Raw genomic sequence first — 15,252 nt, forward strand, 5'->3', positions numbered from 1 at the left:
TGGCAGGCCGAAGTGGGAGGGTCACTTGAGGCCAGGAGTTCAAGACCAGCCTGAGCAACATATGGAGATGCCATCTCTACGAAAATAAAATAAAATAATTAGCCAGGCATGGTGGTGCACACCTGTAGTCCCATCTACTTGAGAGGCTGAGGAGGGGGGATTGCTTGAGCCCAGGAGGTCAAGGCTGCAGTGAGCTGTGATTGTACCAGTGCGCTCCAGCCTGGGTGATAGAGTAAGACCCTGTCTCGAAAAAAAAAAAAAAAAAAAAAAGAGAAAGAGAGAGAAAGAAAGGCATAGACAGATTCTCCCTCAGGGCCTCCAAAAGGGACCAGCCCTGATGACACCTTGCCTTCACACTTCTTCTCGTGAACTGTGGGACAATACATTTCTGTTGTTTTAAGCCACCTGGTTTGGGCTACCTTACTAGCCCAAGGAGACTAGGACAGCAGCCTTTCCTGCCGCCTCCAAGAGAGAGCTTTGGCCTTCACTGCACACCTCTGGCAGACACTGGAACCCCAATAATATCATCGAAAAACAGCCCTGCTTAATGTTCTCAGTGTCTACTGAGACTAACTCATTTAACCCTTTAACGCCCAGCGAGGCTCCGACACACCAACAGATTGAATAACGTGCCCAAGATCAGCAGCTCTATGAGTATAAACCGGGATCCCAAGCACCCTCTCTGTTCACCACCAGGATTTCCTGGTACTTTGTGGGGAGCCTGTGAATTAAGACCCATAGGCCAAACCGGATCCACCACCTGTCTTTTGGGCCCACAAGCTAAAGATGGTTTTCATCTTTTTCAAATGGTTAGGAGGAAAAAAAATTAAAAGAAGAATGATTATTTTGTGACAGGTGAAAATTCTATGGAGTTCGGATTTCAGTGTCTAGAAATCAAGTTTTATTGGAACACAGCCATATCTATTCAGGTAAGAGATCATCTAGGTTGCTTTTATGCTATAAGGGCTGAGTTGAGTCGCTGCCACAGGGATTGTGTGGCTGGCAAAGACAGAAATATTTCCTATCTGGCCCTTTACAGAGAAAGCTCCATGCTATCATATATGATACCAGTCCAGGCACGCCCTTGCTAGGCCAGGGAGTCAGGGACAACAGCTCCACTTACACCAAGTCCCTCTCACTCACACACATGCGTCCCCACCTCCTCCTCACCCGGCTTTGACGGTTGGTGAATCAGAGGCTGATCTCATCCCACTCCTGCCTCCCTGACAGCACAGATGACGCATCCTCCCCAAAGCCCCCCAGGCTGAGCCCACCCATCCCTGCCTCCTCAACATCATAGAGGCTCTCGCCCTCCTAAATCCCCCAAGCTGACACTGTCCCACCCCTGCCTACCTTATAGCACCAATGCAGTCCCAACTCCCCACTGAATGGAGGAAGGCTATGTATTTGGGGGGCTGAGTACCTCAGCGCAGGTGCCCATGTAGTTGTAGACACTGAGCGGGATCTTGACCTGCTCCCCACGGATGATGAGAGCGGGGAGCATGAAGTCCACGAAGAAGGGCTTGAAGGTCTTCAGCAGGGAGGGCTCGGCGATGCCTAAGCCCTGAGAGGTGGACAGGGCCACGGCCTCACCCACCCAGCTGGTGATGGAGTCCGGGACCTTCACACTGAGTGTCCCCTCACCAGATGGGTCACTGCGGAGAGACAGACAGCCATGATGGGGGGCCCTTCTCCAGGGCCATGCCTCAGGGGGGCCAGTGGGCATGGATGACCCAGGCTGCATGGCTCAGAGAGGCACCCTAGGAGCTTAGAAACAAGCATTGAAGGCATCACAAAAGCGGCAACAGGAAAAAAACTGTCCCTCAGCCCTGACTCTAATAGAAAACATGGGCTGGGCGCAGTGGCTCATGCCTGTAATACCAGCACTCTGAGAGGCCGAGGTGGGAGACTGCCCGAGCCCAGGAGTTCCGGACCACCCTAGGCAAGATGATGAGACCGTGTTGCTACAAAAAATTTAAAAATTAGGTGGGTATAGTGACACATGCCTGTAGGCCCAGCTACTCAGGAGGCTGAAGTGGGGGATTCACTTGAGCCCAGGTGGTCGAGGGTGCAGTGAGCTGTGATCCCGCCACTGCAGTCCAGCCTCAGCAACAGAGTGAGATCCCTGTCACACACACACAAAAATATTATTGAAAGAAACTAAAAAAGACAAAAAAAGACATAAATAAATGAAAACATTTCCCATGTTCATGGATCGGAAAGACTTGTTAAAATGTCAAAACTACCCAAAGTGATCTATAGATTCAATGGAACCCCTATCATAAACCCCAATGACTTTTTATTTTATTTTATTTTGCAGAAATAGAAAACTCCACCTTGAGATTTTACATGGATCTCAAGGGATCCTGGTGGCCAAACAAAGAAACCAGAAGAATAAAGCTGGAGAGCTCACACTTCAAAACTTACCACAAAGCTACCATATTCAAATCAATGTGTTACTGGCATAAAGACAGACATACAGACCAATGGAATCAAATAGAGAGCCCAGGAATAAACCTTGACGACACAGATAAATGATTTTTGACAAGGGCATCAAGATACTTTAGGGAAAAGACAATCTTTTTAACAAATACTGCTAGAAAAAGCAAACATCCATATGCAAAAGAATGAATTTGGACCTTACCTAACACCATATACAAAAGTTAACTCAAAATGAATCCATGACTTGAAAGTAAAAACTAAAACTATAAAACTCTTAGAAGAAAACAGGGCAAAAGCTTCATGACATTGGGTTTGACAATGATTTCATGGATATGAAAACAAAGGTACAAGCAAAAAAAAAAAAAAAAGAGTAGACAAGTTGGACTTTATGAAAACTGCAAAATTTTGAGCATCAAAAGACACTATTCAAGGGCTGGCATGGTAGCTTACTCCTGTAATCCCAGCACTTTGGGAGGCCAAGGAAGGAGGATCACTTGAGCCCAGGAGTTTGAGACCAGCCTGAGCAACACAGCAAGACCCTATCTTTACAAAAAATTAAAAAATTTAGCCAGGAGTGGTGGTGTGTACCTGTAGACCCAGCTACTTGGGAGGCTGAGGTTGGGGGATCACTTGAACACCTGGGTGACAGAGTGAGACCTTGTCTCAAAAAAAAAAAAAAAAAAGGCACTATCAACAGAGTAAAAAGTCAACCCAGTGGGAGAAAATATTTGCAAGTCATATATCTGATAAGGAAATAATATCCAGAATATATAGAGAACTCCTGAAACTCAATAACAAAAACAGCAACATGATTCAAAAATGGGCAAATTACTTGAATAGACATTTCACCAAAGAAGATAGACAAATGACTGATAAATACATGAAAGATGCTCAACATCACTAATCATTAGGGAAATGCAAATAAAAACCACAATGAGATGCCACTTCATGTACTTAATTAGGATATTAAAAAAGAAAAGGCAAGAAAAAAGGCTGGGCATGGTGGCTCACACCTATAATCCCAGCACTTTGGGAGGCCGAGGTGGGTGGATCACTTGAGGTCAGGAGTCTGGCCATTGTGAATAACGCTGTGAACATGGGTATACAAATATCCCTTTGAGACCCTGCTTCCCATTCTTTTGGGTATACACCCAGAAGTAGTGGGTGAAACCCCGTCTCTACTAAAAATACGAAAATTAGCCAGGTGTGGTGGTGCGTGTCTGTAGTTCCAGCTATTTGGGAGGCTGAGGCAGGAGAATTGTGTGAACCTGGGAGGCGGAGGGTGCAGTGAGCTGAGATTGCACCACTGCACTCCTGCCTGGGTGACAGAGCGAGACTCTATCTCAAAAAAAAAAAAAAAGAAAAGAAAGAAAAAGAGAACAGCAAGTGTTTCTGAGGATGTGGTAAGATTGGAACCCTGGTACACTGTTAGTAGAAATGTAAAACGCTGCAGCTGCTGTGGAAATTAGTCTGGAGGTTCCTTAAAAAATTAAACATAAAATTACCACATGATTCAGCAATTCTACTTCTGGGTATACACCCAAAAGAATGGGAAGCAGGGTCTCAAAGGGATATTTGTATACCCCTGTTCACAGCATTATTCACAATAGCCAAAAGGTGGAAGCAACTCAAGGGTCCATCGACAGAAAATAAATGGATAAACAAAATGAGGGAATCCATGCAATAGGATATTATTCAACCTTAAAAGGGAAGGAGGCTGGGTACAGTGGCTCACGCCTGTAATCCCAGCACTTTGGGAGGCCGAGGGGGGTGGATCACGAGGTCAGGAAATCGAGATCATCCTGGTCAACATGGTGAAACCCCATCTCTACTAAAATACAAAAAATTAGCTAGGCATTGGCTGGGCACGGTGGCTCATGCCTGCAATCCCAGCACTTTGGGAGGCCGAGGCGGGCGGATCACGAGGTCAGGAGATCGATACCATCCTGGGTAACACGGTGAAACCCCGTCTCTACTAAAAATACAAAAAATTAGCAGGGCATGGTGGTGGGCGGCTGTGGTCCCAGCTACTCAGGAGGCTGAGGCAGGAGAATGGCGTGAACCCAGGAGGCAGAGTTTGCAGTGAGCCGAGATCGCACCACTGCACTCCAGCCTGGGCAACAGAGCAAGATGCTGTCTCACACACAAACACACAAAAATAGCTGGGCATGGTGGCGCATGCCTATAGTCCCAGCTATTTGGAAGGTTAAGGCAGAGGAATCACTTGAACCCTGGAGGCAGAGGTTGCAGTGAGCCGAGATTGTGCCACTGCACTCCAGCCTGGTGACAGAGCAAGACTCCATCTCAAGAAAAAAAAAAAAAAGAGAGAAGGAAATTCTGACATGGATTCTCCAACAAAGATGAACCTTGGGGACATGTTGAAATAAGCCAGTCACAAAACGACAAATACTACATGATTCCACTTACAGGCGGTCCCTAGAATAGTCAAACTCAGAGACAGAAAGGGTTGTTACCAAAGGCTGGGGGAAGGGAAGAGAGGGGAGTGAGTGTTTAATGGGACAGAGTGTCAGTTTTGTAAGATGAAAGGAGTCACAGAAATGGGTGATGGTGATGTTGGCACAATAACGTGAGTGTCCTTAATACCACTGAACTATACACTTAAAAATGGTTAAGATCGTAAATTTTATGTGGAGTATTTCACCATAATTTTTTAAACCAATTCATTTTTGAATCATTTTCCCTTTTTGAGACAGGGTCTCACTCTGTAGCCCAGGCTGGAGTGCAGTGGTGTAATTTCGTGTCACTGCAGCCTCAACCTCCTGGGCTCAAGCGATCCTCCCACTTCAGCTTCCCAAGTAGCTAGGACCACAAGCATGTGCCACCACACCTGGCTAATTTAAAAATTTTTTTTAGAGATGGGGCCTTGCTATGTTGCCCAGGCTGGTCTTGAACTCCTGGGCTCAAGCAATCCTCCTGCCTCAGCCTCTCAAAGTGCTGGGATTACAGGCATAAGCCACCACACCCCGCCTTTAAACGGGTGTGGTTTAAAAGAGAGTTGACCAGTCCTCTTTTGGGTCCAGCAGGAACCTCCTCCCTGGTCTCAGATCTGTCCCCTCTGATTCATCCTTGCTCCAGCCAACAAGAGAGGAGAGAGAACATCCCGAATCCTAAATCCCAAATCCCTGGCTCTCCACACCTGCACCCCTAACCCCACCCCCACAGCCCACATGGTCTCATACTCCCTGCATCCTCCTCAGCTCCTTCCATCTCATTTCAACCATGTGGAAATCCACCAGCCTCTCCTACTTTGCAGCACTTGCTCATGCTGGTCCTTCCTGGACACCCTTCCCTTTCTTGCTTATTCATATGGTGGGACTCAGCTTGGGCCCTACATTGAGGACCCTCTCTGGCTTTTCCAAAGGATTCCACCATCTTTCTCTGCCTCCCAAGCTCCATGCCCAGCCTTCCAGAAGACTAACCCCACTGCACCATGATGGCTCTTTAGGCACCTGTCTACTCTAGCTACAATGAAAATGTTATGAGTGCTGGGACTCTGTCTACCTTATTCAAGGGACCATCCTTAACATCAAAAACATCCGGGCCAGGAGCAGTAGCTCACACCTGTAATTCTAACACGTTGAGAGGCCAAGACAGGAAGATCACTTGAGGCCAGGAGTTTCAGACCAGCCTGGGCAACATACAGAGACCCCATCTCTATGAAATATTTTTTTTTTTTTGAGACGGAGTCTTGCTCTGTCACCCAGGCTGGAGAGCAGTGGCGCCATCTTGGCTCACTGCAACCTCCGTCTCCCAGGTTCATGCCACTCTCTTACCTCAGCCTCCCGAGTAGCTGGGACTACAGGCGCCCGCCACCATGCCCAGCTATTTTTTGCGTTTTTAGTAGAGACAGGGTTTCACCATGTTAGAGAGGGTGGTCTCGATCTCCTGATCTCGTGATCCACCTGCCTCAGCCTCCCAAAGTGCTGGGATTACAGGCATGAGCTACCATGCCCAGCCCTAATAAAAGTTAATTGAAAAAATTTTTTAACAATAAAAAAAGCTCACCAGACATCCAGAAAGTAGATACATTTGAATGATGATGGACAGATAGCCTGTCTTACAGCTGGGCCCCCAGAACAAAACACAGTGAACTGGATGTGTTCTGATCAGCAGTCAAACCTTCCCACGATGAGGACATACACATCCCCCAAAGCAGTCTGAGGGGCCCCCAGCTGCGTGCCTGGCTCTGCCAAGCACTTGCCACAGCACCTTGTGCCTGGAGGAAGGGCACAGCTCCAGCAGTCAGCCCACCTGCTGGCCCGGGCTGGACCAAGAGTCAGTTTTCATGCCAAACTGGTTTGCCGGGGCACGCCAGTGCCACTTTTTACTAGTGTCATTGGTGCTCTAACGCTGAGCATTGCAAGAAAAAAAGTCAATTGCATCCAGCAGAAAAGGGTTGCCTACACTCCTGCTTCAAAGAGAACTAAACGGGGAAAAATGCAGAAAGGAAATGTGTTGAGAAAGGCATCCTGTTTTTTGAGCAAGAGCTGTAGTCCCCTGAGGAGCAAGGAGTGGGGGTAGGTGGAGTCAAGTTCATGTTCCAGGGAACTGTAATCATTTTAATGAGCTCGTTATACAAACAGAGCAGATAGAGTAACCCCAAGAGGGAGTTATAAGAGGCACAAAGCCCTTGCATTTCATATTTCACAGGCAAACGTCCAAATGTGCAGCGGGACTCAAGGCTGGCTTCATGGCTTGAAGTTTTGTGTGTTAGAAAAAGATGCACAGTGTCTTGCTCAGATGTTGGTATCAGGCCTGCCCATCTCACCGGAGGCTCTCTGGACCCGCATGAGTGTCTTTCACTCAACCGGCAAAGTCAGCGCAGAAAAGAAATCTTAATGTACCTGATGTTGAGACAATGCCAAATCCATGTTTCGGGGAAGAAAGTCCTTTTTCTCTTCTCTGTTCTATGAAAAGAAAAAAAGAAACGATTAAGGTTTCATGAACATAACAAATCTTATGTGAACCTAGCAGCTTTGCATTCTATTTGATCAGATATAACGCGTTAATTTCTTTTACCTGGAAGGGTTAACATTGTACTTCACTGGGATATAACATGTTAATTCTCTTACCTGGCAGGGTTAACAGTCTACTTGATTAGGACATAACTTGTTTTTTTAAAAACTTTATTTTAGGTTCAGAAGTACATGTGCAGGTCTGTTACATAGGTAAATGTGTGTCATGGGGGTTTGTTGTACAGATTATTTCATCACCCAGATACTAAGCCTATGCCCAATAGTTATTATTTCTGATCCTCTCTGTCTTCCCATCCCCCATCCTCAAGTAGACCTGTGTCTGTTCCCCCTTTTGTTTCCATGTGTTCTCATCATTTAGCTTCCACTTATAAGTGAGAACATGCAGTATTTGGTTTTCTGTTCCTGCATTAGTTTGCTAAGGATAATGGGCTCCAGCTCCATCCATGTTTCCACAAAAGACATGATTTTGTTCTTTTTTATGGCTGCATAGTATTCCATGGTATTTCTGTACCACATTTTATTTATCCAATCTGTCATTGATGAGCATTTAGGTTGATTCCAGGTCTTTGCTATTGTAAATAGTGCTGCAGTGAACATTTGTGTGCATGGGTCTTTATGGTAGAATGATTTATATTCCTTTGAGTATATACTCAGTAATGGGATTGCTGGCTCAAATGGTAGTACTGTTTTTAGTTCTTTGAGCAATCACCACACTGCTTTCCACAATGGTTGAACTAATTTACACTCCCATCAACTATGCATAGCATCCCCTTTTCTCCACTACCTCACCAACATCTGTTATTTTTTTACTTTTTTTTTCTTTTTTTTTTTTGAGATGGAGTTTCCTTCTTGTCACCCAGGCTGGAGTGCAATGGCACAATCTCAGCTCACTGCAACATCTGCCTCCCAGGTTCAAACGATTCTCCAGCCTCAGCCTCCCGAGTAGCTAGGATTACAGGCGCCTGCCACTACACCCAGCTAATTTTGTATTTTTAGTAGAGACGCAGTTTCACCATGTTGGTCAGGCTGGTCTCAAAATCCTGACCTCAGGTGATCCACCTGCCTCGGCCTCCCAAAGTTCTGGAATTACAGGCATGAGCCACCACACTCAGCTTATTTGTTGACTCTTTAATAATGGCCATTCTGACTGGCATGAGATGGCATCTCATTGTGGTTTTGATTTGCATTTCCCTTTTTTTTTTTTTTTGAGATGGAGTCTTGCTCTGTCACCCAGGCTGGAGTGCAGTGGTGCAATCTCTGCTCACTGCAACCTCCACCTCCCAGGTTCAAGTGATTCTCATGCCTCAGCCTCCTGAATTACACCTGGAATTGCAGGTGTGCCACCACGCCCGGCTAATTTTTGTATTTTTAGTAGAGATGGGGTTTTGTCATGTTGACCACGCTGGTCTCAAACTCCCGACATCAAGTGATCCACCCGCCTCGGCCTCCCAAAGTGCTGGGATTACAGGTGTGGGCCACTGTGCCTGGCCTGATTTGCATTTCTCTAGTTCAGTGACATTGAGGTTTTTTTCATATGCTTGTTGGCTGCACGTATATTTTCTTTTTTTTTTTTCGAGATGGAGTCTCTCTCTGTTGCCCAGACTGGAGTGCAATGGCACAATCTCGGTTCACTGCAGCCTCCGCCTCCCAGGTTCGAGCAATTCTCCTGCCTCAGCCTCCTGAGTAGCTGGGATTACAGGCGTCCACCACCATGTCCGGCTAATTTTTGTATTTTTAGTAGAGATGGGGTTTCACCATATTGGCCAGGCTGGTCTCGAACTCCTGACCTTGTGATCCACCCACCTCAGCCTCTCAAAGTGGTGGTATTACAGGCATAAGCCACCACGCCCGGCCTGCATGTGTATCTTCTTTGAAAAGTGTCTGCTCAAGGATGTAACTTGTTAACTCTTTTACCTGGCAGCGTTAACATTCTACTTAAGAATAGAAGAAGCAAGGTATCAAAGGCTTGGCAGAGTCCATCTTTAAACAGTCGTGCCTCCTCTCCTGGATGCAGAAGGGATAAAGGCCTGCAGGGGCCACCCTATATCCCTCCCTTTGCTAATTTCCCTCCCTGGGTTTTACCACGTTCATCTTCATCATCACACTGAACTCTCCACCTCCTGCTCACCCATCCTCTGTTTCCTAAGGAGTGCCTTCATGCATTCTTGTTTGAGCCTCAGAAGCCTCACAGTTCACCCTCCTCAAAGGCTGCTCCTTCTCCTTTCTCAAAAAAAAAAAAAAGGCTTTCTCAAAATTTGGCAAAAATAAAAATGCTCCTATCCTTTCAACCATCAACACCTCTCCTAGGAGCAGACCCCGGAAACACCCGCAGACGTGTGTGCAAACACAGAGAGATGGAGTGGTTCATCGTGGCACTAGGAAAATTAGCAAATAGCCCAAATCTCCATCATTAGGAGGACTGGAAAATCAAATGATAGTATATTCATTGGTGGACTATTATATATTTGTAAAAAAAAAAAAGAGTGAGGTAAACATGCATTTACTGATATGGAATGATTTCCAAGACTTGTTGTTAACTTTCAAAAGAAATGTACAAAATGACATTATGGTATTCTTCTATTCTTTTTTTTTTTAATCCTACATATGCACAGAAGAATATCTAAGAAATTATTCAGACTGGGCACAGTGGCTCACACCTGTAATCCCAGCACTTCGGGAGACTGAGGTGGGTGGATCACTGGAGGTCAGGAGTTCAAGACCAGCCTGGCCAACATGGTGAAACCCCCTCTCTACTAAAAATACAAAAGTTAGCCGGGTTTGGTGGTGCAGGCCTGTAATCCCAGCTACTCAGGAGGCTGAGACAGGAGTATCACTTGAACATGGAAGGCAGTGAGCTGAGATCCCATCACTGCACTCCAGCATGGGCAACAGAGTGAGACTCCTCCTCAAAAAAAAAAAATTATTCAGCTTTCCCTTCTGAAGAAGGGAATGGAGGGTCTGAGGGTGGGAAGGAGACTTAAATTTCATTATATATCCTCTTCTACTGCTTGAAAAAAATGTTAACCACATTTACATGGTTAAAAAAATATGTTGGGGCTATTCCAAGATGGCCAAATAGGAACAGCTCCAGTCTGTAGCTCCCAGTGTGATTGACACGGAAGATGGGTGATTTCTGCATTTCCAACTGAGGTACCTGGTTCATCTCATTGGGACTGGTTGGACAGTGGGTACAGCCCATGAAGGATGAGCCGCAGTAGGGCGGGGTGTCGCCTTACCCGGGAAGCACAAGGGGTCAGGGGATTTCCCTTTCCTAGCCAAGGGAAGCCGGGATAGACTGTACCTGGAAAAACAGGACACTCTCGCCCAAATACTGAGCTTTTCCCATGGTCTTAGCAACCAGCAGACCAGGAGATTCTCTCCCATGCCTGGCTGGGCGGGTCCCACGCCCGCAGAGCCTTGCTCACTGCTAGCACAGCAGTCTGAGATCGAACTGCGACGTGGCAGCCTGGTTGGGGGAGGGGTGCCCACCATTGCTGAGGCTGGAGTAAGTAAACAAAGTGGCTGGGAAGCTTAAACTGGGCGGAGCCCACTGCAGCTCAGCAAGGCCTACTGCCTCTATAGACTCCACCTCTGTGAGCAGGGCATGGCTGAACAAAAGGCAGCAGACAGTTTCTGCAGACTTAAACGTCCCTGTCTGACAGCTCTGAAGACAGCAGTCATTCTCCCAGCATGGCGTTTCAGCTCTGAGAACGGACAGACTGCCTCCTCAAGTGGGTCCCTGACCCCCATGTAGCCTAACTGGGAGACACCTCCCAGGAGGGGCCGACAAACACCTCATATAGGCGGGTACCCCTCTGAGACGAAGCTTCCAGAGGAAGGATCAGGCAGCAATATTTGCTGTTCTGCAATATTTGCTGTTCTGCAGCCTCCACTGGTGATACGCAGGCAGACAGGGTCTAGAGTGGACCTCCACCAAACTCCAACAGACCTGCAGCTGAGAGACCTGACGTTAGAAGGAAAATTAACAAACAGAAAGGAATAGCATCAACATCAACAAAAAGGACATCTACACCAAAGCCCCATCTGTAGGTTACCAGCATCAAAGACCAAAGGTAGATAAAACCACAAAGATGGGGAGATACAAGAGCAGAAAAGCTGATAATTCTAAAAACCTGCGCGCCTCTTCTCCTCCAAAGGATAGTAGCTCCTTGCCAGCAATGGAACAAAGCTGGACGGAGAATGACTTTGACAAATTGACAGAAGTAGGCTTCAGAAGGTTGGTAATAACAAACTTCTCTGAGCTAAAGGAGCACGTTCAAACCCATCGCAAGGAAGCTAAAAACCTTGAATAAAGGTTAGACGAATGGCTAACTAGAATAAACAGCATAGAGAAGAACTTAAATGACCTGATGGAGCTGAAAACCATGGCACGAGAACTTTGTGACGCAGGCACAAGTTTCAATAGCCGATTCGATCAAGTGGAAGAAAGGGTATCAGTGATTGAAGATTAAATTAATGAAATAAAGCAAAAAGACAAGGTTAGAGAAAAAAGAGTAAAAAGAAATGAACAAAGTCTCCAAGAAATATGGGACTATGTGAAAAGACCAAATCTACGTCTGATTGGTGTACCTGAAAGTGATGGGGAGAATGGAACCAAGTTGGAAAACACTCTGCAGGATATTATCCAGGAGAACTTCCCCAACCTAGCAAGGCAGGCCAACATTCAAATTCAGGAAATAAAGAGAACACCACAAAGATATTCCTCAGGAAGAGCAACCCCAAGACACATAATTGTCAGATTCACCAAAGTTGAAATGAAGGAAAAAATGTTAAGAGCAGCCAGAGAGAAAGGTCGGGTTAACCACAAAGGGAAGCCCATCAGACTAACAGCAGATCTCTTGGCAGAAACCCTACAAGCCAGAAGAGAGTGGGGGCCAATATTCAACATTCTTAAAGAAAAGAATTCTCAATCCAGAATTTCATATCCGGCCAAACTAAGCTTCATAAGTGAAGGAGAAATAAAATCCTTTACAGACAAGCAAATGCTGAGAGATTTTGTCACCACCAGGCCTGCCTTTCAAGAGCTCCTGAAGGAAGCACTAAACATAGAAAGGAACAACCAGTACCAGCCACTGCAAAAATATGCCAGATTGTAAAGACCGTTGATGCTATGAAGAAACTGCATCAATTAATGGGCAAAATAACCAGCTAATATCATAATGACAGGATCAAATTCACACATAACAATATTAACCTTAAATGTAAATGGGCTAAATGCCCCAATTAAAAGACACAGACTGGCAAATTGGATAAAGAGTCAAGACCCATTATTGTGCTGTATTCAGGAGACCCATCTCATGTGCAGAGACACACATAGTCTCAAAATAAATGGATGGAGGAAGATCTACCAAGCAAATGGAAAGCAAAAAAAGGCAGGGGTTGCAATCCTAGTCTCTGATAAAACAGACTTTAAACCAACAAAGATCAAAAGAGACAAAGAAGGCCATTACATAATGGTAAAGGAATCAATTCAACAAGAAGAGCTAACTATCCTAAATGTATATGCATGCAATACAGGAGCACCCAGATTCATAAAGCAAGTCCTTAGAGACCTACAAAGAGACTTAGACTCCCACACAATACTAATGGGAGACTTTAACACCCCTCTATCAATATTAGACAGATCAGTGAGACAGAAGGTTAACAAGGATATCCAGGAATTGAACTCAGCTCTGCACCAAGCAGACCTAATAGACATCTACAGAACTCTCCATCCTAAATCAACAGAATATACATTCTTCTCAGCATCACATCACACTTATTCTGAAATTGACCACATAATTGGAAGTAAAGCACTCCTCAGCAAATGTAAAAGAACAGAAATCACAACAAACTGTCAGACCACAGCACAATCAAATTAGAACTCAGGATTAAGAAACTCACTCAAAACCACACAACCACATGGAAACTGAACAACCTGCTCCTGAATGACTGCTGGGTAAATAACGGAATGAAGGCAGAAATAAAGATGTTCTTTGAAACCAATGAGAACAAAGACACAACACACCAGAATCTCTGGGACACATTTAAAGCAGTGTGTAGAGGGAAATTTATAGCACTAAATGCCCACAAGAGAAAGCAGGAAAGATCTAAAATCGACACCCTAACATCACAATTAAAAGAACTAGAGAAGCAAGAGCAAACAAATTCAAAAGCTAGCAGAAGGCAAGAAATAACTAAGGTCAGAGCAGAACTGAAAGAGACAGAGACACAAAAACCCTTCAAAAAAATCAATGAATCCAGGAGCTGGTTTTTTGAAAAGATCAACAAAATTGATAGACCACTAGCAAGACTAATAAAGAAGAAAAGAGAGAAGAATCAAATAGACGCAATAAAAAATGATAAAGGGGATATCACCACCGATCCCACAGAAATACAAACTACCATCAGAGAATACTGTAAACACCTCTACGCAAATAAACCAGAAAATCTAGAAGAAATGGATAAATTCCTGGACACATACACCCTCCCAAGACTAAACCAGGAAGAACGTGAATCTCTGAATAGACCAATAACAGGCTCTGAAATCGAGGCAATAATTAATAGCCTACCAACCAAAAAAAGTCCAGGACCAGAAGGATTCACAGCTGAATTCCACCAGAAGTACAAAGAGGAGCTGATACCATTCCTTCTGAAACTATTCTAATCAAGAAAAAGAAGGAATCCTCCCTAACTCATTTTATGAGGCCAGCATCATCCTGATACCAAAGCCTGGCAGAGACACAACAAAAAAAAGAGAATTTTAGACCAATATCCTTGATGAACATCGATGCAAAAATCCTCAATAAAATACTGGCAAACAAAATCCAGCAGCACATCAAAAAGCTTCTTATCCACCACGATCAAGTCAGCTTCATCTCTGGGATGCAAGCCTGGTTCAACGTACACAAATCAATAAACGAAATCCATCACATAGACAGAACCATTGACAAAAACCACATGATCATCTCAATAGATGCAAAAAAGGTCTTCGGGCTGGGCACGGTGGCTCACGCCTGTAATCCTAGCACTTTGGGAGGCTGAGGCAGGCAGATCACAAGGTGAGGAGATCGAGACCATCCTGGCTAACACGGTGATACCCTGTCTCTACTAAAAATACAAAAAATTAGCCGGGCATAGTGGCGGGCGCCTGTAGTCCCAGCTACTCAGGAGGCTGAGGCAGGAGAATGGTGTGAACCTGGGAGGCAGAGCTTGCAGTGAGCCGATATCGCACCACTGCACTCCAGCCTGGGTGACAGAGTGAGACTCCATCTCAAAAAAAAAAGGTCTTCGACAAAATTCAACAGCCCTTCATGCTAAAAACTCTCAATAAACTAGGTATTGATGGAATATATCTCAAAATAATAAGGGCTATTTATGACAAACCCACAGCCAATATCATACTGAATGGACAAAAACTGGAAGCATTCCCTTTGAAAACTGGCACAAGACAAGGATGCCCTCTCTCACCACTCCTATTCAACGTAGTGTTGGAAGTTCTGGCCAGGGCAATCAGGTAAGAGAAGGAAATAAAGGGTATTCAATCAGGAAAAGAGGAAGTCAAATTGTCCCTGTTTGCAGATGACATGATTGTATATTTAGAAAACCCCATCATCTCAGCCCAAAACCTCCTTCAGCTGATATGCAACTTCAGCAAAGTCTCAGGATACAAAATCAATGTGCAAAAATCACAAAAATCCTATACACCAATTAACAGACAAACAGAGAGCCAAATCATGAGTGAAATCCCATTCACAATTGCTACAAAGATAATAAAATACCTAGGAATCCAACTTACAAGGGATGTGAAGGA

General features: G+C 45.1%; 1 protein-coding gene across 15 annotated transcripts in view, besides 3 other annotated features; it reads right to left on the reverse strand.

Moving 5' to 3' along the window:
* Positions 1-15,252, reverse strand: part of CPAMD8 (C3 and PZP like alpha-2-macroglobulin domain containing 8) — a 133,860-nt gene that overhangs the window by 57,595 nt on the left and 61,013 nt on the right. For 14 of the 15 annotated variants that reach the window (XM_011527917.2, XM_047438612.1, XM_011527922.2 and 11 more), the window contains 2 exons: positions 7,308-7,370; positions 1,424-1,655 (listed from right to left, as the gene is read on the reverse strand). In XM_011527917.2, the coding sequence (XP_011526219.1) occupies positions 1,424-1,655; positions 7,308-7,370 (295 nt within the window). Of the gene's footprint in view, positions 1-1,423; positions 1,656-7,004; positions 7,371-15,252 lie in introns of those variants that run through there. The other variant, NR_165644.1, reaches the window with a different exon arrangement.
* Positions 1,166-1,729: an enhancer, noted in NCBI's record as "H3K27ac-H3K4me1 hESC enhancer chr19:17062521-17063084 (GRCh37/hg19 assembly coordinates)". NCBI's record gives its function as "activates a minimal SCP1, AML or CMV promoter by ChIP-STARR-seq in naive H9 embryonic stem cells {active_cell/tissue: H9 hESC(naive)}" and the evidence as "EXISTENCE:reporter gene assay evidence [ECO:0000049][PMID:30033119]".
* Positions 10,236-10,795: an enhancer, noted in NCBI's record as "H3K27ac-H3K4me1 hESC enhancer chr19:17071591-17072150 (GRCh37/hg19 assembly coordinates)". NCBI's record gives its function as "activates a minimal SCP1, AML or CMV promoter by ChIP-STARR-seq in primed H9 embryonic stem cells {active_cell/tissue: H9 hESC(primed)}" and the evidence as "EXISTENCE:reporter gene assay evidence [ECO:0000049][PMID:30033119]".
* Positions 10,796-11,353: an enhancer, noted in NCBI's record as "H3K27ac-H3K4me1 hESC enhancer chr19:17072151-17072708 (GRCh37/hg19 assembly coordinates)". NCBI's record gives its function as "activates a minimal SCP1, AML or CMV promoter by ChIP-STARR-seq in primed H9 embryonic stem cells {active_cell/tissue: H9 hESC(primed)}" and the evidence as "EXISTENCE:reporter gene assay evidence [ECO:0000049][PMID:30033119]".

Source organism: Homo sapiens, chromosome 19, assembly GCF_000001405.40.
Source record: "Homo sapiens chromosome 19, GRCh38.p14 Primary Assembly".
NCBI lineage: Eukaryota > Metazoa > Chordata > Mammalia > Primates > Hominidae > Homo > Homo sapiens.